The 24,177-nt window shown below is 39.7% G+C and overlaps 1 protein-coding gene across 2 annotated transcripts in view, besides 4 other annotated features; it reads right to left on the bottom strand.

Annotated features, from left to right (window-relative positions):
- The window catches only part of SWAP70 (switching B cell complex subunit SWAP70), an 88,917-nt gene that overhangs the window by 32,163 nt on the left and 32,577 nt on the right, over window positions 1-24,177 (bottom strand). Inside the window, exon 3 of one of the 2 annotated variants that reach the window (NM_015055.4) lies at window positions 7,192-7,365. The exons of the other annotated variant lie outside the window; for it this stretch is intronic. Within the exon in view, the coding sequence (NP_055870.2) occupies window positions 7,192-7,365 (174 nt within the window). The remainder of the gene's footprint in view (window positions 1-7,191; window positions 7,366-24,177) is intronic. 2 annotated transcript variants of the gene reach the window in all.
- Window positions 1,105-1,605: an enhancer, noted in NCBI's record as "H3K27ac hESC enhancer chr11:9740773-9741273 (GRCh37/hg19 assembly coordinates)". NCBI's record gives its function as "activates a minimal SCP1, AML or CMV promoter by ChIP-STARR-seq in primed H9 embryonic stem cells {active_cell/tissue: H9 hESC(primed)}" and the evidence as "EXISTENCE:reporter gene assay evidence [ECO:0000049][PMID:30033119]".
- Window positions 8,647-9,147: an enhancer, noted in NCBI's record as "H3K4me1 hESC enhancer chr11:9733231-9733731 (GRCh37/hg19 assembly coordinates)". NCBI's record gives its function as "activates a minimal SCP1, AML or CMV promoter by ChIP-STARR-seq in naive H9 embryonic stem cells {active_cell/tissue: H9 hESC(naive)}" and the evidence as "EXISTENCE:reporter gene assay evidence [ECO:0000049][PMID:30033119]".
- Window positions 16,006-16,105: an enhancer, noted in NCBI's record as "active region_4422". NCBI's record gives its function as "activates an Ori minimal core promoter by ATAC-STARR-seq in GM12878 lymphoblastoid cells {active_cell/tissue: GM12878}" and the evidence as "EXISTENCE:reporter gene assay evidence [ECO:0000049][PMID:35858748]".
- Window positions 18,551-18,610: an enhancer, noted in NCBI's record as "active region_4421". NCBI's record gives its function as "activates an Ori minimal core promoter by ATAC-STARR-seq in GM12878 lymphoblastoid cells {active_cell/tissue: GM12878}" and the evidence as "EXISTENCE:reporter gene assay evidence [ECO:0000049][PMID:35858748]".

Genomic DNA, 24,177 nt, shown 5'->3' with positions numbered 1-24,177 from the left:
AAAAATAAAAAATAAGAAGAGATTGAAGAGATAAAAGCAAGAAAAAGAGAGTCAAAAAGGACATTAAGATAAACAATTGCTCAAGGTACAATAAGCAGTAGCATTAACAGGTACAGAAATTCAATCTCCCTAAGGCAGCAAAAAGAAGGGCCCAGGCTGGCAGATTACAACTTGGGGTACAGGGAATACAGGCACAAGTCGAAGTTTTAGTAGCAAGGCAAAGGAAGCACATGTGTATAGCCACATGTGTGTGCAGTATGACTACACGTGGGTGAGACAAGATGGTAGAGCCGAATGACCATGTCCTGGCACAAGTCAAGAATCAGCCTTAGCTCTTCCTCACCTACCTCTTACTGAACCCACGTCATTCACACTCCAAGCTTCAGTTTCTTCAAAATCAGATGACTTGTTATGTTTGTAACTCAGAAAGCGCCTATTAGTAGCAAACTCAGCTCTAGAAGTAGCTTGCCAGGTTCATCCTGAACCTTTCTGAAGGTGCCCTCCCAAGCCTTATGAAGTTGTCATTAGCACCCAGCTTCGATCTGCTCAGCATTCCCAGTGACTGTGCCAGACAACTAATCTAGATTCATTTCCTGCTGACTTTCAACACAATCATATACGTATCATAACCAAATAACTTAAGGGCCTTTTGATTCATTATATTGGGCCAAGGAGAGACAAACATTACCATTCTCCACTATTCAATTATACTAAATAATAAATCATGTGTTGCCGTTTTAGTCTCTAGTGGCCTGCATCAATTCTAAGAGCTCATTCAGTTTCAGGAAGCAGCTTACTTCCTCCTTCCAAGCAAGTTTCACCAAAAATAACAAAGAAAAAACTTTCAAGATGCATGTGATTTTCGAGGCCTTCAGTTCCAAAATTTATTTTATTAAAAATGCTTTCTCTATCATCATTAATAAGGGGCATTTTATTGGCTTAATAGGTTTTATTTATTTAGGGTCTCTTAAAACTATTTCAGGTTCAATTTTTAACTGCATCAAGGCAATTCTTCCAAATAGGTACACAAGAGACACATCCTGTTTTGTTCCTGGTTCTGTGAGAAACAAATACTAAATAAAAACTGTACTTGGCAGGCACATATTTCCAGGAATATATTCTAACAAAAATTATGGAACGAACTCAAATGGGGACACACTATTTCTTACAACTATGTGACAGAAACATCTTAACTTCACTATGTAAGTCACTTAAATATTTATTTAACATACTTGACACTACTTTCTGGGTAACAGAAAACTGAATCAGAAGCAAACATTAACTTTTTTTTTTTTTAGATGGAGTCTCGCTTTGTTGCCCAGTGGCACGATCTCGGCTCACTGCAACCTCCACCTCCTGGGTTCAAGCGATTCTCTTGCCTCAACCTCCCATATAGCTGGGATTACAGGCATGCACCACCACACCTGGCTAACTGCCATGGTTATATCTTTTTTTTTGAGACAGGATCTCATTCTGTCACCCAGGCTGGAGGCAGTGGAGTGATCTTGGCTCACAGCAGCCTTGACCTCCCAGGCTAAAGCGATTCTCCCACTTCAGCACCCCTGCCTGGCTAATTTTTTATATTTTTTGCAGAGATGGGGTTTCACCATGTTGCCCAGGCTGGTCTCGAATTCCTGAGCTCAAGTGATCAGCCTGCCTCAGCCTCCCAAAGTTCTGGGATTACAGGTGTGTGCCACTGCACCCAGCTGACAATTATATCTTTTTTTTTTTTTTTTTGATTCAGTGTCTCGCTCTGTCCCCCAGGCTGGAGTGCAGTGGCATGATCACAGCTCACTACAATGTCTGCCTCCTGGGTGATCCTCCCACTTCAGCCTCCCGAGTAGCTGAGACTTCAGGCATGTGCCACTGTGCCCAGCTAATTTTTGTATTTTTTGTAGAGACGAGGTTTCACCATGTTGCCCAGGCTGGTCTCAAACTCCCCAGCTCAAGCAATCCTCCCACCTCAGCCTCCCAAAGATTGCAGGCATGAACCACCAAGCCAGGCTGGTTATATTTTACATTGTATTAATTAAGGCTTAAAAAAAAATCTTTCTTAAAAAACACTCTAAACAAAATGCAAATGATCATTACGGTAAGTGGATTATTGGAAAGAAGTATTACTTCAAATTTATAAATCCTAAAAACTACTGATAACAAGTTAAACCCACCTATATGTTCATGAAAAATTATGACATTATACTTCAAAATTTATTTTTTAAATATATCTGTTTTCACATTAAATTTTATTAAAATCTGTAAGTCTACAATCAGTCCAAATATAGTTTTTGAAGTGTTATTATTCAGAAAGGAAGCAAAAGCTAACAGAGAATGTATTTTTCATAATATAGCATAACCTTGAGTTTGCAGTGCTTGGTCAAAGGCCAGGTGATAGGCTAAGAGCTTCATAAATACAAATCCATGTGATTAACCTCAGGAGGGTAATTCAGCAGCTAGACAAAGCAATCTCACATAAATCTACTCCAATGATCCCTTCTTTCCCCACACAAGCACTCCTGGCCCCAGAGGAAAATCTATAAAACTAACTCAAATTCTACTTCTAACCAGAAGAAATGATGAGAGAGTAAAAGCTGTCAAAGCACAGAGTGAGTCCAAACAGTAACATGACAAGGTATGCTGCCTGGCTATTCTAACAAATCAAAGAAAGGCTGTTCACTTCTCAAATGAGATTAACTTGATTTGAAAGAGAATCAAGACATTTCTGTTAGCCTGCAAAGGTGAAGAAAAACATGCCAGGAGCCTTGGCTGGGCTCTGGCCTACAGAAACGCACATCAAGGCCCATGTGGGTCCCAATCCTTCGGGATGCCTGCAGCACAAATCTTTTGAGTTTCTTAGGCACAATAGTCAGAAAACTGATGCTGACTGGCTCCCTTCACAGCCTGTGGCTCAATGGTGATTTAATGCCATTGACATGTCATCCACATTAAGCAAGTGCTGCCTAAGGCAATAAAAACACTCACTAATTTCTAATTCTGAAATCAGGACAAGGTCACTTTCAAGTCCACCAAATATTTTAGTGATGGAAAAAAACAAAACATCAAGGGTAAGAGACCCACCCCACATCCAGTTTTTCAAAGAAAACACAATTAATTGTGGAACACAGTATAACTACAAAATGTTTTAAAATACTGTAATTTTTTTTTTTTTTTTTTGAGACAAGGTCTGGCTCTATCTCCCAGGCTACAATGCAGTGGCATGATGCCACTCTCTGCTCACTGCAAGCTCCACCTCCCAGGCTCAAACCACCCTTTCAGACTCAAGCCATCCTCCCACCTAAGCCTCCCAAGTGGCTGGGACAACAGGTGCACACCACCATGCCCAGCTAATTTTTGTATTTTTTTGTAGACACAGGGTTTCACCATGTTGCCCAGGCTAGTCTTGAACTCATGAGCTCAAGCGATCTGCCCGCCTCAGCCTCCCAAAGTGCTGGGATTATAGGCTTGAGCCAGCACACTTAGCCTAAAATACTGTAAATTTTATTTGCACAATTCTTTCAAGCAGCAGCTAGGTTTTAAAACCACCACTGGGATATTCTTTTCTACAGACATTCCCTTCTATACACCTCTGTATTAAGCTAGACAATTTCCTTGGACAAAAATTTCATAGCATGTTTTATTTTTCATTTCCTTTTTAACATACATACACGATTACATCATTGTTATTAAGCACTAAGAAACTGTTCCCACCACTACAGCGAAACTGCCTTCTCCTTGATCACCAGCGAGCACCTAATTGTTAAATCCAAGGGCAACTTCTCACTTACCATTGTCTAATTTTTCCATAGCATCTAATGCCAGTAACTACTTCTGTGCTTCTTAAAACTTTGTGTTTCTTAGACATCTATGACTCAGCACTCTCTCAGTTCTCCTACCTCATAGCGTGTTCAATTCAGCTTCCTTTGCCAAATCGACTTCCTCTTTCTGCTACAGAAATGGTCCCAAGGTTCCGTCCTTGGCACTCATGTCTCCAACTACAGTCTTCCTCCCTGATCTAACCTACTCTTGTGGTTTCCCCACCTCTGTCTCCAGCCCTGGCCTCTCACAAGCTGTAGATAAACACTTCTAGTGCACAGCTCCACAAGGATGTTCCACCTAAAATCCCAAATGTACCAAACCCACCACCATGCAATATGTCCCAGATTTGTTCATCATCCTACCATTCATTCACACACACCCCTTTTAGTGAGCAGCTACCATGGGTCCAGGCACTTTAATAAATGTTTCACATACATCAACTTTTTCAATCCTCACAGAGTCCAATGAAGAAAGTAGTTATCCCCATTTTACAGATGGGGAACCCCAAACAGAGAGAGTGAGTAATTTGTCACAAAGCTAATAAGTGGTAGAGGTGGGTTTCAAACCAGTCAGTCTGATTTCAGAGACTATGCTTTAAACAAATATACTATATTATTCCCCAGTTGCCCAGGCCTGAAACTTGTCTCTGCTTCCCCACAGCCAGGCACTATATGCTTGGTCCTGTGACCTCTAGGTTCTTCCCATCTGGCCTTCTTTTCCATTCTCGCTGTATTTTAGTCCTCAATGCCACTTAGCTTCTCTCAACTTCTCACCTCCCATGTCTCCATATTTCATCTATTCACCTATCACTCTCTTCCTCAAAAATCATCAGTGGCTCATCTTTCCACACTGCCTACAGGATAAAGTCAAAACTCTCCAGCTTCATCTACCGCCTATCTTCTTCACAGCCATCATGTTCCAGTAAGAAAGGACATGTATCATTCTTTTTTGACTGCCCAGCATTTAACCCTTTTCTTATGTCTGGGGAAATCCCTACCTGCCAATGTAGAAGCTGAAAATGCAAATGTATCCTTTCCAAGACTCCGTTGCAGCTAGTGCACAGTGCCTGACCTAGGCCATGCCAATTAGATACATCATGCCCTGATGATAATTGGGAAGTGGGCACTATGGAGAACTCTCCCTCATAGGAAGAACAGTTCCAGGAAAAGTTGAGTTCTGGGGCAGTGATATGGTTTGGCTGTGTCCCTACCCAAATCTCACCTTGAATTCCCAGGTGTTGTGAGAGGGACCTGGTGGGAGGTAACTGAATCATGGGGGCAGGTCTTTCCCGTGCTGTTCTCGTAATAGCGAATAAGTCTCATGAGATCTGATGGCTTTATAAAGGAGAGTTTCCCTGCACAAGCTCTCTTCTCTTGTCTGCCACCATGTGAGACATGCTTTCACCTTCTGCCATGATTGTAAGCCCTCCCCAGCCATGTGGAACTGTAAGTTCATTAAACCTCTTTCTTATATAAATTGCCCAGTCTTGGGTATGTCTTTATCAGCAGCATGAAAATGGACTAATACAGGCAGCAATCAGTGTCCAGGACCAGATGTGTTCCATGGTATAAGTGCAACACCCATCCTCTGGTGGGAGCAGCATTTTCCTTGTTGTTCCTCATGGAGTGGCCAGTACAGTAAATAGGACAGACCAAATTGCATAGCCTCCACACCTGTTTTTTAAGCCATCATGATGATTCTGTAAGCTATCCAGCATACTTTTAAAAAATTCCCTTTTAGGCCCTGCACAGTAGCTCATGCCTGTAATCCCAGCACTGTGGGAGGCTGAGGTAAAGGGATCACTTGAGGCCAGGAGTTTGATACCAGGCTGGGCAACATGGCAAGACCCCATCACTGCAAAAAAAATTTTTTTTAATTAGCTGAGTGTGGTGATGTACACCTGTAGTCCCAGCTACTCAGTAGGCTGAGACAGGAGGATCCCCTGAGCCCAGGAGGTTGAGGCTGCAGTGAGCCATGATTGCACCACTGCACTCCAGCCAGGGCAACAGAGTAAGACCCCGTTTCTTAAAAAAAAAAAAAAAAAAAAGGCAGGTGTGGTGGCAGGCACCTGTAATCACAGCTACTCCGCGGGGTGCAGAATCATTTGAACCTGGGAGGTGGAGGCTGCAATAAGCCGAGATTGCGCCATTGCACTACAGCCTGGGCAATAAGAGCGAAACTCTGTCTCAAAAAAAAAAAAAAAAAAAAAATCCCCTTTTGGCTTGAATCAGCCAGTGTGGCTGTTTCTAAGTAAGCATCCTGACTGGCAACTCAGTCAAGCTGGATACCTCCCTCACTCCTTTTAGAACATGCCCTTTGCTTTCCTGACTCATAAAACACTGCCTACTGTTGCTTCCATCCAGAATTCTCCTCTGCCTTCACTATTGGCCAAAATCCTTCCCACCCTTTAATGCCTTGGTACAGCCTTTCTGAAGGGCAACTTTGCCTTGTTCATCTAATACCCTGAAAGTGTGCATTTCTTAAGACTCAGAATTCCACTGCTGGAAGTTTATTCAAAGAAAATAATCAGACTAGTATGCAAAAATGCATGTAATAAGAGTAGTCTTAAGAGTTACTGAGTACATACTATGTGCCAGGCATTAAACTAAACCCTTTAAATGCAGAATTTCACAACCCTTAGACTAAACATTGTAATTGGCTTTATTTCACAGATGAGAAAATGAAGACTTGCAGGTTAAATAATTTGTCCAAGGTTAAGGGATTATAGATGACTTTTTTTTAAAGTGTGGGGACTACAGCTGATTTTAATTGTGTATATTAATCTTTTCTGAATTTTCTACTGTAATAACCATGTATTAACATGTGTCACTTTTTAGGACAGTTAGATAGCACAGAAGCCTTACTCCTATTATTTTTTTCCTTTGGAAGTTTAGGGAAAATAACAAAGCAAGCATTCTCTTTCTTTTACTTTGAAAGGTATGGAAAGTCATCACCCTGGACTTTGAAACAAGAATAGTATTTACTCACACAAAACAGCCCTGAAAACAACATTCTGGATCTCATGTGTTTCCCATGTATACCAGCACTCAGCCAGTTACGTTTTGTCAATATGCAAGTAGTATGAAAATTATGTTGTGACTTGTACAGAATACTCTTTGGACGTGAGGATAGATTCACTTATCATCATAGCCATTTAGAGAAGAAGAAACCCACTTTCCCTGTAAATCTCCAGGGGTATTACATGCCCCAAATTACTATATTTGGAGCTTTTCTATACTCAGGCTGCTTTGCCTCTGATCCAAAAACACTAGCCAAGGATCTCCTTCCATATCTATGCTGAATTAACAGAAAAAATACCAAGCCAGGTCTATTAAATGCTAAAATGACCAAGTAAAAACTCCCCAAGCCACACCTTACCTCTTCTGACACAATAATTAATGGATACTTGTCCTCAGATAAAAAGTTGAAAATAACCCATATTTTAAATGCATCTTCTTCTGTAATGAGCAGGGGATTCTTTGTGAGGTTTTTTTTGACACAGAGGGTCCAACACATCCTATTGAATTCAATCTTGTCAAAGTTGTCTTGGACCTAAAAAGGAATAAGGAAAAACTCCAACAAATCAGTCCGATATAAGCAGTATCTAAGGCAAGTAAAATAGAAAGACAAAGCCTCCTTTGGCTCCCATTTTAATCAATCCAATTAACCAACAGCCATATCCTACATATTTGCTTTAGGTATTACACTTTCAGTGGCTCAATTAAGATGTTACATTTAGCATGACACTGAACCAACATCTGTCCATATCACTCCCTTGGCACATAAAATACTGACCTCTCAAATAGTTACCGTTTCATGTGTACACACTATCTTCCTATTAATAAACAGACTACCAATCCTAGCACTGACCTCTCAAATAGTTACAGTTTCATGTGCATACACTATCTTCCTATTAATAAACAGGCTACCAATCCTAGCACATGGAAGAAACTGAGAATGTCAATTACTCAGTATGAGCCAAGTACAGGTACATTATCTTTACATACACGGTCAAAGAAGAGGCTGGGCATGGTGGCCCATGCCTGTAATCCCAGCACTCTGGGAGGCCGAGGCAGGCGGATCACCTGAGGTCAGGAGTTTGAGACCAACCTGACAAACATGGAGAAACCCCATCTCTAGTAAAAATACAAAAATTAGCCGGGCGTGGTGGCGCATGCCTGAACCCGGGAGGCGGAGGTTGCAGTGAGCTGAGATCACGCCATTGCACTCCAGCCTGGGCAACAAGAGCGAAACTCTATCTCAAAAAAAAAAAAAAAAAAAAGGAAGAAGATACCTTCTTTTGGGGAAAACTATTTAACTGAAATTCTAAAACAACAATCCTGCCATTCATTCATTTGTTCACGTATCCAGTGTTTCCTCAGCATCTACTACGAGCCAAGTACTGAGATTAGATAGGCATGAGCCACTGTGCCTGGCCTATTTTTTGTTTTTATTTTTTAACATTGTTTAATTAATTTAAAAAATAAATAGAGATGAGGTCTTGCTATATTGCCCAGGCTGGTCTCAAACTCCTAGCCTTAAGCAGTTCTCTTGCATCAGCCTCCCACAGTGCTGGGAGGCACTTTTATATCCTATAAACTAAGGATATAAAGATGAAGAACTAGGTCTGTGCTCTTAAAATGTTCACAGTTTATTAGGGAAAACAGATATGCAAATAAATTTTAATATAACTGTATAATTTAACAGTGTATAATTCAATAGAATTGTTCACTCATTTGACAAATAAAATTTAGATCATAATTATTATTTGCCAAAGACAGTACAAAGATACTCAACATAATACTGGCCTATGTTCCCAAGGAATGTAAAGACAATTACAGCAGAGTGTGACAAGTACTGTAATAGAGATAAGCAGAGGATTTTGTGGGAGCACTGAGGAGCTAACACAATCTTGACATCTGGGGAAAGATTCGCAGAAAGAGTGACAGGACAACAGAGCTGAGTTCTCAAGCAGCATCAAGAGTCAAACAGATCAAGAATGGGATAAAGGGTATTCCAGGTAGAACAGAATGTGAGAAAGCCCCGAAGTGGAGGCAAGCATGGTTAGTTTGGAAGAACTGTGAGTATTTAATGTGAATGGGGCACCTGGTGCTGGAGGGTGGTATAACTAAGGCTCTTCGTGTAAGTGCAAGTAACAGGAACCACCTTGGGTTCCTTTAAAAACAAAAGGAATTTATTGGAAAAACAATGGGTAACCTCACAGATCTAACGCAAAGGCTAGAAAAATCTAGGCTCTGAAATTAGGCTGGTATCAAGGTAGAGCAGGCAGCCAGAACTGCGGCTGAACCACTCACGGGAACAGTCTGGTGAAGACACCACTGCCTGTATAACATGAGAGCACCCTCACTATTACCACTGCTACCACTGCCCCTGTCCATGATCTTCTGCGTCACTCACTGCAGATTCAAAGTTCTACTGGCTGAGCCTGGGTCACATTCCTGTGCTCTAGCTGCCAAGGAACAGGGAAAAATGAGTACCTGAACTTTCCAGATTTTGAGGTGTGAGACAGGTCCTGTTCCCCACCAAGACTCTGTAGAATTTCCCAAATGTAAGAAAAAAGTTCAGATGCTAGACAGACAGACAGACAGACACACACACACACACATAAAAGGCAAATTTCCATTACTTGGGACACAGTGAAAGACAAGCCAGTGAGGTAGGTGAAGACTGATCATTAGGAGATTTATCATTCATGTTAAGGAGTTAGGACTTTATCTGGACTGAAAGAGTTGAAGGTAGTAACAGACACACTCTTCATTTTAAAAGCCACATTCTGCACCAGTGCAGTGCCTCACTCCTGTAGTCCCAGCACTATGGGAGGCTGATGCAAGAGAACTGCTTAAGGCTAGAAGTTTGAGACCAGCCTGGGCAATATAGCAAGACCTCATTTCTATTTATTTTTTAAATTAATATAAACAATGTTTAAAAAAATAAAAATAAAAAATACATAAATAAATATGTATAACAATACAAAAATAAATAAATAAATAAATAAATAAAAATAAAAAACAGGCCAGGCACAGTGGCTCATGCCTATGTAATCTCAGCACTTTGGGAGGCCAAAGCATAAAGATTCCTTGAGCCCAGGAGTTTGAGACCAGCCTGGGCAACAGAGACAGACCCGGTCTGTACAAATAATAATTTTAAAAATTAGCTGAGCACAACAGTGCATGCCTGTGGTCCCAGCTACTCAGGAAGGTCAGGCAGAAGGATTGCTTGTACCCAGGTGGTCAAGGCTGCAGTGAGCCATGATCATGCCACTGCACTCCAGCCTTGGAGACAGGGCAAGACACTTAATAAAAAAAAAAAAAATTTTTTTTGAAAATTAAAAAAAAAAAAGCCATATCCTGGAATAACATGGAAGATGTACTGGAGGAGGCAGGCATGGGCAGCAGAATAACATCAGCGAAGCATTTCTTTTTAGAAAGATATGAACAAACCATTTTTTCACTATATGAAAAAAGTCACCAGCTGTCCGCAGGCCGAAGTTTCACCTGATCTCTAACTTTAATTTGTAGTTGGCAAACCAGTCCTCCAGGAGTAGAAAGAGCTCCTTTGTGTTCTGCCTTTAGTACCTTGCCTCAGTCTAACACCATTTCCCACGGCCCCATCAAATACAAGTGATCCCATGGAGGGAAAGCAGCAGCAGCAGCAGAAGCAGCAATTGCTGCTGCTTTTCTTTTTTGCCTTATCACTATCACCTTGAAGACTTACTATATGCTAGGCATTTTATATGTTATTTCTCACTTAAATTTTGTATTAGTCCTATAAGGTTAATTATTGCCCCTATTTTAGAGATCAGAAAATACAGGTTCCAAAAAACTGAGCATCCTTGAACAACATAGGTTTGAACTTCGAGGGTCCACTTAAATGTGGACTGGATTTTCTTCTGCCTTTGCCACCACTGAGACAGCAAGACCAACAACTTCCGCCTCTTCCTCAGCCTACTCAACAAGAAGACAATGAGGATAAAGACCTTTACAATGATCCACTTCCACTGAATGAATAGTAAATACATTTTCTCTTCCTTATGATCTTCTTAATAACATTTTCTTTTCTCTAGATTACTTTATCATAAGAATAACTGCACATAATACATTTTACATTAAAATATGTGCTAATCAACTGTTTATATTATTGGTAAGCCTTCCAGTCAACAGTAGGCTATTAGGAGTTAAGTTTTGGGGGAGTCAAAAGCTAACCTTGGAAGCCAGGCACAGTGGCTCATGCCTGTAATTCCAGCACTTTAGGAGGCCAAGGCAGGTGGATCGCTTGAGTTCAGGAGTTTGAGATCAGCCTGAGCAACATGGTGAAACCCTGTCTCTACCAAAAATACTAAAAATTAGCCAGGCATGGTGGCATGCATCTGTGGTCCTAGCTGCCCGGGAGGCTGAAGTTGGTGGGAGATCGCACTACTACATGCCAGCCTAGGTGACAAAGTGAGAGATTCTGTCTCAAAAAAAAAAGTTATACTTGGATTTTCAACTATGTGGGTTCAAGTGTCAACTGTACATTTACAAAGTTCACATGGCTAGTAAATATCAAAACCAAAGTTTAAACTCAAGCTCAGCAAGGTGTGGTGGCTCAGGCCTATAATTCCAATGCTTTGGGAGGCTGAGGTGGAAGGATTGCTTGAGACCAGGAGCTCGAGACCAATATAGGCAATATAGCGACATCTTATTTCTACCAAAAACATTTTTTTTAATTAGCTGAGCATGTTGGCATGTGCCTTTAGCCCCAGCTACTCGGGAGACTGAGGCAGGAGGATCACTTGAGCCTGGGAGGTGGAGGCTGCAATGAAGGCAAGACTGTGCTGCTGCACTCCAGCCTGGGCGACAAAGTGAGACTCTGTCTGAGGGGGAAAAAAAAATCCAACCTGGGCAACATAGTGAGACCCCTGTCTTTAAAGAAAAACATTTTTTAATTAGTAGGGTATGGTGGTTTGTGCCTATAGTCCTAGCTTGTCAGGAGGCTGAGGTGGGAGTCTCATTTGAGCCCAGAAATTCACGGCTGTAGTGAGCTGTGATCATGCTGCTGTACAAATTCACACTCTAGTCTGGGTGACAGAGCGCAACTCTGTCTCAAATGCTAGCTCTTCCCACCATACCAAACTGCTTGTAGAACTCAGTAGGTGGAGGCCATCTATGGGATGAATGCCATCTATGGGATGAATGCCATCTATGCAGAACATTTCCAAGGCCACCACCACCAACTCTATCCACACCCCACAAAACACTAAGTGGAAGATATGCCACACAGGGGAAATGACATGTGCACAAAAGCAGATAGCCTTGCTCTGAGAACAAGAAGTGATTCTAAGTGGATTCTGTGGTGAATCATAGGGTTCCTGAGGGGAAATGGCTAGATATACAGCTGGAAAAGCAAATATAAGACCAAATCACAAAGGGCTTCATAATTTTAAGAAATAGCCTGTAGGAAAACAGTTCAAGGAGTTTAGAACAGAATACATGAAGAACTCCTACAATTCAATAACAGAAAAACAAATAAGCGAATTTTAAAATGGGCAAAGGAATTATTCGACATGTCTCCAAATAATATATACGAACAGCCAACAAGCATATGAGAAGATGCTCAACATCACTTATGATTGGGGAAATGCAAATCAAAACACAGTGTGATATCACCTCACACCTGTTAGAATGGTCACTATCAAAAAAACCAGAAAATAACAAGTGTTATTGTTAGGATGTGGAGAAATTCGAACCCTTGCACACTGTTGGTGGGATTGTAAAATGGTGCAGCTGCTATGGAAAACAGTGTGGAAGTTCCTCAAAAAGTTAAAAATAGAACTACCATATGATCTAGCAATCCCACGTCTGGATATATATCCAAAAGACCTGCAAACAGGACCTTAATGAGACATTTGCACACCTATACCCACTACAGCATAATTCACAATAGCCAAGATGTGGAAGCAACCTAAATGTCCATCCAGGGATAAATGGATAAAGAAAATGTGATATACATTGGGTGCAGGGTACACTTCTTGGGTGACAGGTGCACCAAAATCTCAGAAGTTACCACTAAATAGCTTATCTATATAACAAAAAAACCACCTGTTCCCCCAAAACTATTAAAGTTTAAAAAAATTTTTTTTTAAATTTTTTAAAAGAAAATAAGGGCCAGGCACAGTGGCTCACGCCTGTAATCCCAACACTTTGGGAGGCCAACGCAGGTGGATCACTTGAAGTCAGGAGTTCAAGACCAGCCTGGCCAAGATGGTGATACCGCGTCTCTACAAAAAATACAAAAATTAGCCAGGCATGGTGGCAGGCACCTGTAATCCCAGCTACTAAGGAGGCTGAGGCAGGAGAGTCACTTGAACCCCAGAGGTGGAGGCTACAGTGAGCCAAGATCGCACCACTACACTCCAGCCTGAGCGACAGGGTGAGACTCTGTCTCAAAAAAAAAAAAAAAAGAAAAGAAAAAGAAAATGTGTTATATACATACAATGAAGTATTATTCAGCCTTAAAAAAAGAAGGAAATGCTCTCATAGGTGACAATAGGGAAGAACCCTGAGGACACTATGTTAAGTGAAATAAGCTAATCAAAAAAGACAAATACAGCATGATTCTACTTATAATAGAAGGTATCTAAAGTAATCAAACACACTTTAAAAAAATAGTAGAATGGTGATTGCCAGGGCCAGGGGGAAAAGGAAAAGAGGTGTTGTTCAAAAGGTGTAGAGTTTCAGTTATGCAAGATAAACAGGTTCTAAAGTTCTGTTGTACAATAATGTGCATACAGTTAAAAATACTGTACTATAGCCTTAAAACTGTTGAGGATAAATTTACATTATATATTTTTACCAGTTTTTTTAAGTATAAAATCTATAGTTTTCATAGAAAATAGTGCATAAAGCATTAGTATTCAAGTGTTTTCACACAAGGTATAATGTCAAACAAAATAAAGAAATTCAATCTTGGGTTTCCGGAATTTCATATACCATACACTATACCGAATGGTTTTCAAGGTTCTAAGAATAAGAATAAAGAAATATATGTGAAAGAATCTTGCTAAAGAAAAAAAATGCTTCCTTCCTGTAGGAGATAGCTAAAAATAAAGAAAAAAAAGGAAAAAAATGCTGCAAAGTATTTATTATTAAATTATATGATGTACTGACCATATACACAGCTGTAACAAGAAAAAAAAAGAGTTCTTTATGTGCTAATCTGAACTAATCACCAAGATATGACATGAAGGTACACAACACGAAGAATTATATAATGTCCAGTGAAAAATGCAAGTCAGAAAAGACCATATACAGCATGATCCTATTTTTATGTCTCCAGAGTAAAAATTAATCATACATTAAGATATACATATATGACAAAACTTTTTTCTAATGTGAGAGGAAAATGCACATAAAATTCAGGATGGTGGCTTCCTCTCGGGAGGAGGCAGGGAAATGACAAAAGAGAAGAGCAAAGAGGTTGAGGCAACATTACTGATGTGTTTCCCAAGATGAGTGGTAGGTTCACAGATGTTCATTTTATTATGCTTTATAATTTTCATATATCCTACAAATATTATTTTGTATATATCATATTATAAAATAAACAAAAAGACAAAATGGGGGGAAAAAAAACAAGTGCTGATCAATGTATACAGATCACCAGTGTATACAGATCACCAAGTATACACAGATCACCAGTGTATACAGATCACCAGTGTATACAGATCACCAAGTATACACAGATCACCAGTGTATACAGATCACCAAGTATACACAGATCACCAGTGTATACAGATCACCAGTGTATACAGATCACCAAGTATACACAGATCACCAGTGTATACAGATCACCAAGTATACACAGATCACCAGTGTATACAGATCACCAGTGTATACAGATCACCAAGTATACACAGATCACCAGTGTATACAGATCACCAGTGTATACAGATCACCAAGTATACACAGATCACCAGTGTATACAGATCACCAAGTATACACAGATCACCAGTGTATACAGATCACCAGTGCATACAGATCACCAAGTATACACAGATCACCAGTGTATACAGATCACCAGTGTATACAGATCACCAAGTATACACAGATCACCAGTGTATACAGATCACCAGTGTATACAGATCACCAAGTATACACAGATCACCAGTGTATACAGATCACCAAGTATACACAGATCACCAGTGTATACAGATCACCAGTGCATACAGATCACCAAGTATACACAGATCACCAGTGTATACAGATCACCAGTGCATACAGATCACCAAGTGTACACAGATCACCAGTGTATACAGATCACCAGTGCATACAGATCACCAAGTGTACACAGATCACCAGTGTATACAGATCACCAAGTGTATACAGATCACCAGTGTATACAGATCACCAGTGCATACAGATCACCAAGTGTACACAGATCACCAGTGCATACAGATCACAAAGTGTACACAGATCACCAGTGTATACAGATCACCAAGTATACACAGATCACCAGTGTATACAGATCACCAGTGTATACAGATCACCAAGTGTACACAGATCACCAGTGTATACAGATCACCAGTGTATACAGATCACCAAGTGTACACAGATCACCAGTGTATACAGATCACCAGTGTATACAGATCACCAAGTATACACAGATCACCAGTGTATACAGATCACCAAGTGTATACAGATCACCAAGTATACACAGATCACCAGTGTATACATATCACCAGTGTATACATATCACCAGTGTATACAGATCACCAAGTATATACATATCACCAGTGCATACAGATCACCAGTGTATACAGATCACCAGTGTATACAGATCACCAAGTATATACATATCACCAGTGCATACAGATCACCAGTGTATACAGATCACCAAGTGTATACAGATCACCAAGTATATACATATCACCAGTGCATACAGATCACCAGTGTATACAGATCACCAGTGTATACAGATCACCAAGTGTATACAGATCACCAGTGTATACAGATCAACCATTTGTGTACAAAGGGGAGAGAACAGATCATCTTTGCTGTTTGTATGAAGTGTAGCAATGTCTGCATCAATATGTCTTTGAGCTGAACTGCAGCTCAAGACTCTTATTCTAGATCCTGTCTTTCACCGTGTATCTGTGGATATGCAAATATTTGTTACCTGTCTACTACAGGTCAGTCAACATCTGGTATGGGAGGAGTCCCACATAAAATAAGACATACGTAGTCTCTAAGGAGCTTCTAGTGCGAGGAGGAAGACAGACTAACAGTTATGTGCAAATGCTCCAATAAAGGGGAATACAGGGAACTCTAGCAGGGCACAGTGGTTCATGCCTGCAATCTCAGCGCTTTGGGAGTCCAAGGCAGGCAGATGACTTGAGGCCAGGAGTCCGAGACCAGCCTGACCAACATGGTGAAACCCAATCTCTACTAAAAATACAAATTACCCAGGCGTGGTGGCTCGCACCTGTAATCTCAGCTACTCAGGAGGCTGAGGCATGAGAATCACTTGAACCCGGGAGGTGGAGGTTGCAGTGAGCTGAGATTATACCATTGCACTCCAGCCTGGGCAACACAGAAAGAGTGTCTCAAAAAAGTAAAATAAAATAAAATAATAAAAATTAAAAAAAAAAAAAGAGGGAAGATGCAGGTCCTCTTTCCTTGCCTAATGCAGCCATGGCTCGTGGTCCCAAGAAGCATCTAAAGCAGGTAGCAACTCCAAAGCATTGAATGCTGGATAAATTGACCAGTGTGTTTGCACAGTGAGGTCATATATATACACAGTAAGGCCATAAATATATATATGGTCTCTCTCTATATAGACAGTAAACAGAATTGTGTCTGTTATTAAAATATTATAGAACATACTGGGAAATTCTCAGAAATCCAGAATTTGGATAGGGATGATGGCCACACAACATAGTAAATACATTCACAACTATTTTACTGTACACTTTAAAATGGTAGGTTTTATGTTATGTGAATTATATCTCAATGGTTTTATAGTTTCATAAAACCATTTAAACCAGAGCAAGAGCCAAGAAGGAGAAAGTAAAATGGTAGGCTCTTCTCATATAACTACATATACATTTCTAACCTCAAACTCTTTCCTGAGTCCCAGTTCTATATTTTATTACAACTCACATGAAATCATGAATTCTTTGAAATCAAAGGCCATATCTTATTCAGTTTTGTACCCCTCTGCCTGGTTTGCAGTATTAATTTGCGCATTCATTCATTCAAATCATTGTGAGTGTTTACCAGGTACCAGTTACTATGCTAAGAGCTGGATAACAGTGAACCAGTTCTTGCCGTCACAGAACTCAGAGTCTGGAGAGGGAATCAGACACCAAACAATACAGCAACAACCCAACAACTAGTAAGTGCTATAGAGGAAAAGCACAGGCTGCTGCGGGAAACACATTATAGGAGAGCTGGTTAGCTCTGGGAAGGGTGGGTTCTACCAGGAGAAACCTCCCTGAGGAAGTGACAATCAAGTCCAGAGCTAAAGGATCAACAAAAATTCGCTGCATTTGATGGGCGGAGTTGGCCTTACAGCACAGGAAGCAGCATGTCTGAAGGCTCTGAGGCAGGAAGGGTCTTGGTAATCTGGGGAACAGAGAGAAGGCCAACGTGATTGCACTAAAGTGAACAACCCACATGTCCAACAACTGATGAACTGAATATGTAAATAAAACATGGTATATCCGTAACGGAATGTTATTCAGCCATAAAAAGGAATGAAGTATTGTTATAGGATACAACGTGGATGAACCCTGAAAACATTATGCTAAGTGAAAGAAGCCAGATACAAAAGGCTGGCTATTGTATCATTCCATTAATATTATATGTCCAGAATAGGCAAATATATATAGACAGAAAGTAGATTTGCACTTGCCTAGAGCTATAGGGGAGAGGGAGTGATTGCTAAATGGGTATGAGATTTTGGGGGCAGCAGTGAGATGAAAATATTCTAAAATCAATTGTGGTAATGGTTGTAGTGAATGAACAAAAAAACCACTAAATGGTACATGTTAAATAGACTAATTGTATGGTATGTAATTTATATCTCAATAAAACTGTTACTTTAAAAAACAATATATCTTTACAGTACATGACTCACATTGCTGGCCAAAGTATTCATCAGTATAAAGTCATTCATGTTTCTCAGCATGAAACCCCTTTATTTACTCAAAAGTTTATAGTCCTCTATAGTTTCACAAATATAATGAAAATGTAGAGTCCAACTTAGTCATTGCACCAAATTAAAACTATGTAACTTTCAGTCAGGTGCAGTGGCTCACACCTATAATCTCAGCACTTTGGGAGGACAAGGCAAGAGGATCACTTGAGCTCAGGAGTTCAAGACCAGCCTGGACAACATAGTGAGACCTCTGCAAAAAAAAGTTAAAAATTAGCCAGGCATGGTGGTGCACACATGTAATTCCAGCTACTCCCCAAGCTACTTGGAAGGCTAAGGTGGGAGGATCTCTTGAGACCAGCAGGGCAAGGTTGCAGTGAGCCATGATCATGTCACTGCACTCCAGCGTGGGCAACAGAGCAAGACCTTATCTCAGAAAACAAAAAAAAAAACAAAACAAAACCCACACTATGTAACTTTCAAAAAACAATGAACGAAAAAATAACACAGGCTAAAGAGCAATAAAAAAGAACCACATGAAAGCACGGGTTTGGGTGTTTAAGAACAGTACCACTTCCTACTAAATGATGTTGTTAGGCACACATTTGAAGTGCTTTGAGCACTGAAGGGAGTCATTTCATTAACAGAAGAAACTTGAGACTACACTTTATAAAAGAATTATAAGTGACATATGAACAAGAAAGTACACCAAGGGGAAAAAGCATAAATATTAGACTAGAAAAACAGAATGCAGAGGCTGCTAGGCTCTGGAGGAGAGACATACTGAACTGAAAAGTTTCTCTGTGTTTTTCTTTTGTGTATGTTTCCAAAAAACCAAATACAAAAAGGCTTCTGTTAGAAAGCACCAGATTCCCCAATTGGAACTTGGCATACTGCCAATGGATTAATGATTTTAATCATATAGCCCAAACCAAGACTTAATATGAGAATCAGAGAAAAGAAATGACAAGATTTGGACTAGCAAGCCTAATCAGCCATTAAATCTCATGGAAGAATTAGACTGCCTTAAAAATACGCTGAAGCAAAACTAGTTTTTTATATACTTTATTGGTACTAACTAGAAGGTAGTAATATACCACTTTCTTCAATTATTCACTGTCAGATAATCCAGCAATAGTGTCTCTGCCAAAAAAAAAAAAAAAAAAAAAAAAGAGCCCACAAAAGTTTCTTCCTAGACGTTTAAAGAATTCCATTCCTTTACTAAACAAGGATTTTTTTTTTTTTAACAGACAAGGTCTTACTTTGTTGTCCAGGCTGCTCTAGAACTCCTGGGCTCAGGTGATCCTCCTGCCTCAGCCTCCCAAAGTGCTGAGATTACAGGCATAACCTAACACGCCCAGCCAAGAAGGAATTTAAAAATTTAACATTTGGGGCCGGGCACAGTGGCTCACGCCTATAATCCCAGCATTTTGGGAGGCCGAGGCAGGTGGATCACCTGAGGTCAGGAGTTCAAGACCAGCCTGGCCAACATGGTGAAACCCCGTCTCTACTAAAAACACAAAAAGTAGCTGGGCGTGGTGGCAGGCACCTGTAATCCCAGCTACTCGGGAGGCTGAGGCAGAAGAGTCGCTTGAACTCAGAAGGCGGAGGTTGCAGTGAGCCAAGATTCCACCATCACACTCCAGCCTGGGGAACAAGAGTAAGACTTGTCTCAAAAAAAAAAAAAGTTAACATTTGGAAGGAAAAAATACTTGGTAAAGGAACAACAGACAGGTTAATCATTTGAAGTCTCAGGAAAGCTGAAAATTAATTCTATCAATGTAAAATAACAAAGTAAATACAAAAACCAACCGTAAAAATTACTTTTTGGAAAGTTTCAATATAATTTAACTCTTGGTATGAACCTCCTCAGAATAATTCTCCCAGGCAAAGGCAGAAAACCCCTAAAACAACCTGGGAAAAAAACTGAAAAAAACTGACCAAAATGAACACTAAGGAACACCATACACTAATTAAGACAAGAGAATCACCTTAAAACAACTTGAGACAGAACAGAAGAAAACTGGATGAAAACTGAGCAAGTGTGAGGTAATCAAAATGGCTTTTAAACAACTCTACCCCTCCCTGCCTTCGACCAATATTTCCCCCATGTATCCAAATATGAGACATTGGAAAAAAACTTAATTCCTAAAGGGAGCAAATAATCCTTCAATAGTACAGTTAAAGAAACACTGGTGGTGAAATTAAATGGCTTAGGTTCAAAAATCTACCTATCACTTATTAGCTAGGCCACCTTAAGCTGTTTCCTCTTTAGTTAATGGGGGATAATTCCAATTCTGCCTCACAGAATTAACATGAAGATCAAATGAGACAGTATGTATACATGACAGCATACCTTGCAACTGTTTAATAACTATTTCATATTTTCTCTACATAGCTGATTATAATCTCTAAGTTTTATGTTAACATTCTTCAGTCACTGTTGGCATTTCTTTTTTCAACCAAGTTTCAAATAAGGCACTAATCTTTGCTCAATTTAAACTCAAACCATGGAAACCTTGGCTGCTTTACTTGGATTGCAGGACTGGCAAAATTCCACTCCAGGTGGCTAAGCAATAATAAACAAGGGCTCACTGTTCCATCACATCCTCATTCCCTCCGTGAATAAGTTTCTCTCCAAATTTAGTGGCTCATTTTTGACTTTTAAAACACTACTATATTTCCTCCCCCAGTTATAAAACTTTAAAAACTTGAAATACTAAAACAAAGAACATTTTAAAACTAAATAAAATTCAGTAAGTTTAAAGAATGTCACACCAAGGAGAACAAAATGCAGTAGTAGGGTGCAGCACTTCAAGATATTAAACCATGTTTCTCTATCCACTGGCCCAGCACACACAAATTCTAGCACTGAAATAAGAAAAACAAATTCGAATTTCTGAGAATTTCCCAGTATGTTCTATAATATTTTAATAACAGACACAATTCTATTTACTGTCTGTATCTAGAGACTATATATATATATATATATATATACACACTATACAGCCTGGGTGACACAGTGAGACCATTGTGCCACAGTGCAGTGGCACAATCATAGCTCACTGTAACCTCAAACTCCTAGGCTCAAGCAATCCTCCCACCTCAGTCTCTCAAGTAGTTAGGACTACAGGCATGTGCCACCAAGCCTGGCTAATTTTTAAGTTTTTTTATAGAGATAGGATCTCACTATGTCACCCAGGATGGTCTTGAACTCCTGGGCTCAAATGATGCTCCTACCTCAGCCTCCCAAAGCACTGGGATTACAGGCATGAGCCACTGTGCCCAACCAGTGTCTATCATTAAACACACATACACACAGCAGGCCATCAAGTATTTGTGTTCTATAGTTTTATTGTAAGTATATATGAAATATATTCAGCAAATATTTGACATATTAGACATATTTACATATAATAAAACTATAGAACACAAATAAGCTACCTGAGCAATAAACAGAACAGCAACAAAAAAAAAGCATTATACTGTAAAGTGCTGAGGCTTTACACATCAATTTTGGTACAATTTAATTATTTTTTATTGAGATATAATTCACATACCATAAAATTCACCCTTTTAAAGTATACAATTCAGTGGTTTTCAATATATTCATAAGGCTTTATCACTGGTTAATTCTAGAATATTTTCATCATCCCTAAAAGAAACCCAAGATCATTAGTAATCACTCACCATTCCTACCTCCCCCTCACCCCAAGAAACCTCTAATCTACTTTGTATCTCTATTTACTTGCCTATTTTGGACATTTCATATAAATAGAATCATACCATATGTTGCTTTTGAGAATTTAATTAAATCTTACCTTTCATTATCATGTGGTTTTTCTTCCTTTTTTTCCGAATTAAAGCATGATCATGTACCACATGATAACTATAGTTAATAACAATGTATTAAATACCTAAAAATTGCTAAGAGAGTAGACTTTAAGTATTCTAACCACAAATAAGGATGTGAAGTAATGCACACTACCTAGTTTCACTTTACCATTCCACAATGTATACACATTGCAAAGCATCATGTTGTATCCCATAAATATATTTTTTTGGTCAATTAAAAAAATAAATATGAAGAAAAGAAAAAAGCACGATCAGGGTAATGTTATCATCTCTGAAAAGGAAATTCTTTAAAAACATGCATTGAGGTTGGGCACAATGGCTCACACCTATAATCCCAACACTTTAGGATGCTGAGGCAGGCAGATCACCTGAAGTCAGGAGTTGGAGACTAGCCTGGCCAACATGGTAAAACTCCATCTCTACTAAAAATACAAAAATTATCCAGGTGTCGTGGCACATGCCTGTTGTCACAGCTACTCAAGAGGCTGAGGAAGGAGAATGGCTTGAGCCCGGGAGGCAGAGGACACAGTGAGCCGAGATCATGCCACTGCACTCCACACTGCAGCCTGGGGGACAAAGAGAGACTCCGTCTCAAAAAAAAGAACCCAGGTCAGGCACAGTGGCTCACGCCCGTAATCCCAGAACTTTGGGAGGCCAATGGGGGCAGATCACCTGAGGTCAGGAGTTTAAGACCAGCCTGGCCAACATGGTAAAACCCCATCTCAACAAAAAATGCAAAAATCAGCCAGGCGTGGTGGCACACAACTATAATCCCATTTACTGGGGAGGCTGGGGCAAGAAAATTGCTTGAACCCAGGAGGCGGAGGATGCAGTGAGCTGAGATCATGCCACTGTACTCCAGCCTGGGTGACAGAGCGAGACCTGGTCTCAAAAAAAAAAAAAAAAAACAAAAAACATGTATTGGCCAGGCATGGTGGCTCACATCTGTAATCCCAGGACTGTGGTAAGCCCAGGTGGGAGGATTGCATGAGGGCAGGAGTTCAAGACCAGTCTGGGCAACATAGTGAGATCCCGTCTCTATAAAAAATGTTAAAACTTAGCCAGGTGTGGTGGCACGCAGCTGTAGTCCTTACTACTCAAGAGGCTGAGGCAAGAGGACTACTTTATTTAGCATAGGAGTTCAAGGTTGCAGGGAGCTGTGACAGCATTACTGCACTTCAGCCTATGCGACAGAGCAAGACATTGTCTCAAAAAACCAAAAAACATGTATAACACATGAAATACACACACACATATACATAGGCGTGCATACACACAAAGAAAGATCAGGAACTTGTATTGTGAGGCTGATATGGAATAAAAGATATAGATACAAAGATTATCACACAGATGAACATTGTAATTTTTAGAATCTTTGCTGCAAAATTCTTGAAAAATATTTCTCGTGGTTTCTAAAAAGAATCCTGGCTGGGCACAGTGGCTCATGCCTGTAATCCCAGCACTTTGGGAGGCCGAGGTGGGAGGATCACCTGAGGTCAAGAGTTCAAGACCAATCTGGTCAACATGGTGAAACCCTGTCTCTACTAAAAATACAAAAAATAGCTGGGTGTGGTGGTATGTGCCTGTAATCCCAGCTACTCAGGAGGCTAAGCCAGGAGAATTGCTTGAGCCTGGGAGACAGAGGTTGCTGTGAGCCGAGATTGCGGCACTGCACTCCTGCTGGGGAAACAAGAGCAAAAAAAAGAAAAAAAAAAGAATCTCAAAAAAAAAAAAGAATCCTGACTAACATTTTGGCATTTTCCAAACTATTAAATTATTATTATAAATGCTAATTACTATACTTTACTATTGTAAAAAGACATTAAACTATTTTAAAAATTATACATATAAATAATAATAAAAATCTGAAGCCATAGAAAAACATGCATATAGTTGTGTATTTAGGTTTGATGCAAAAATTGAGTTTTTAAAATTTTTTTAATGTTTTATTTATATATTTTTTGAGACAAGGTCTCACTATGTTGTTCAGGCTAGTCTTGAACTCCTGACCTCAAACAATCCTCTCACCTCAGCATCCCAAAATGCTGGTATTACAGATATAAGCCACCATGCCCAGCTGCAAGTATTTTACTTTTAATTCGAAAGTATTATCATTATCATTTTTTGAAAGGCATTATTGAAATATACTTGTTATGGAGAACGGTCTAAGCAAAAAATGATAAAAATAGTAAGAATTTAAAACTTAGAAGTATACAAAGAAATTTCATGCTCGGTGTTATAAATAGGCAAAAGGAGGAATTCACAAACTTTTGATATAAATGATTACTTTCATATCTAAACTAAATGTACATGATATGGAAAGATGACACTAATATATTGTTCAATTAAAAAAAT

This window comes from Homo sapiens, chromosome 11, assembly GCF_000001405.40.
Source record: "Homo sapiens chromosome 11, GRCh38.p14 Primary Assembly".
NCBI lineage: Eukaryota > Metazoa > Chordata > Mammalia > Primates > Hominidae > Homo > Homo sapiens.
The sequence above is the reverse complement of the archived record's forward strand: the minus strand, read 5'-3'. Positions and strand labels throughout refer to the sequence as shown.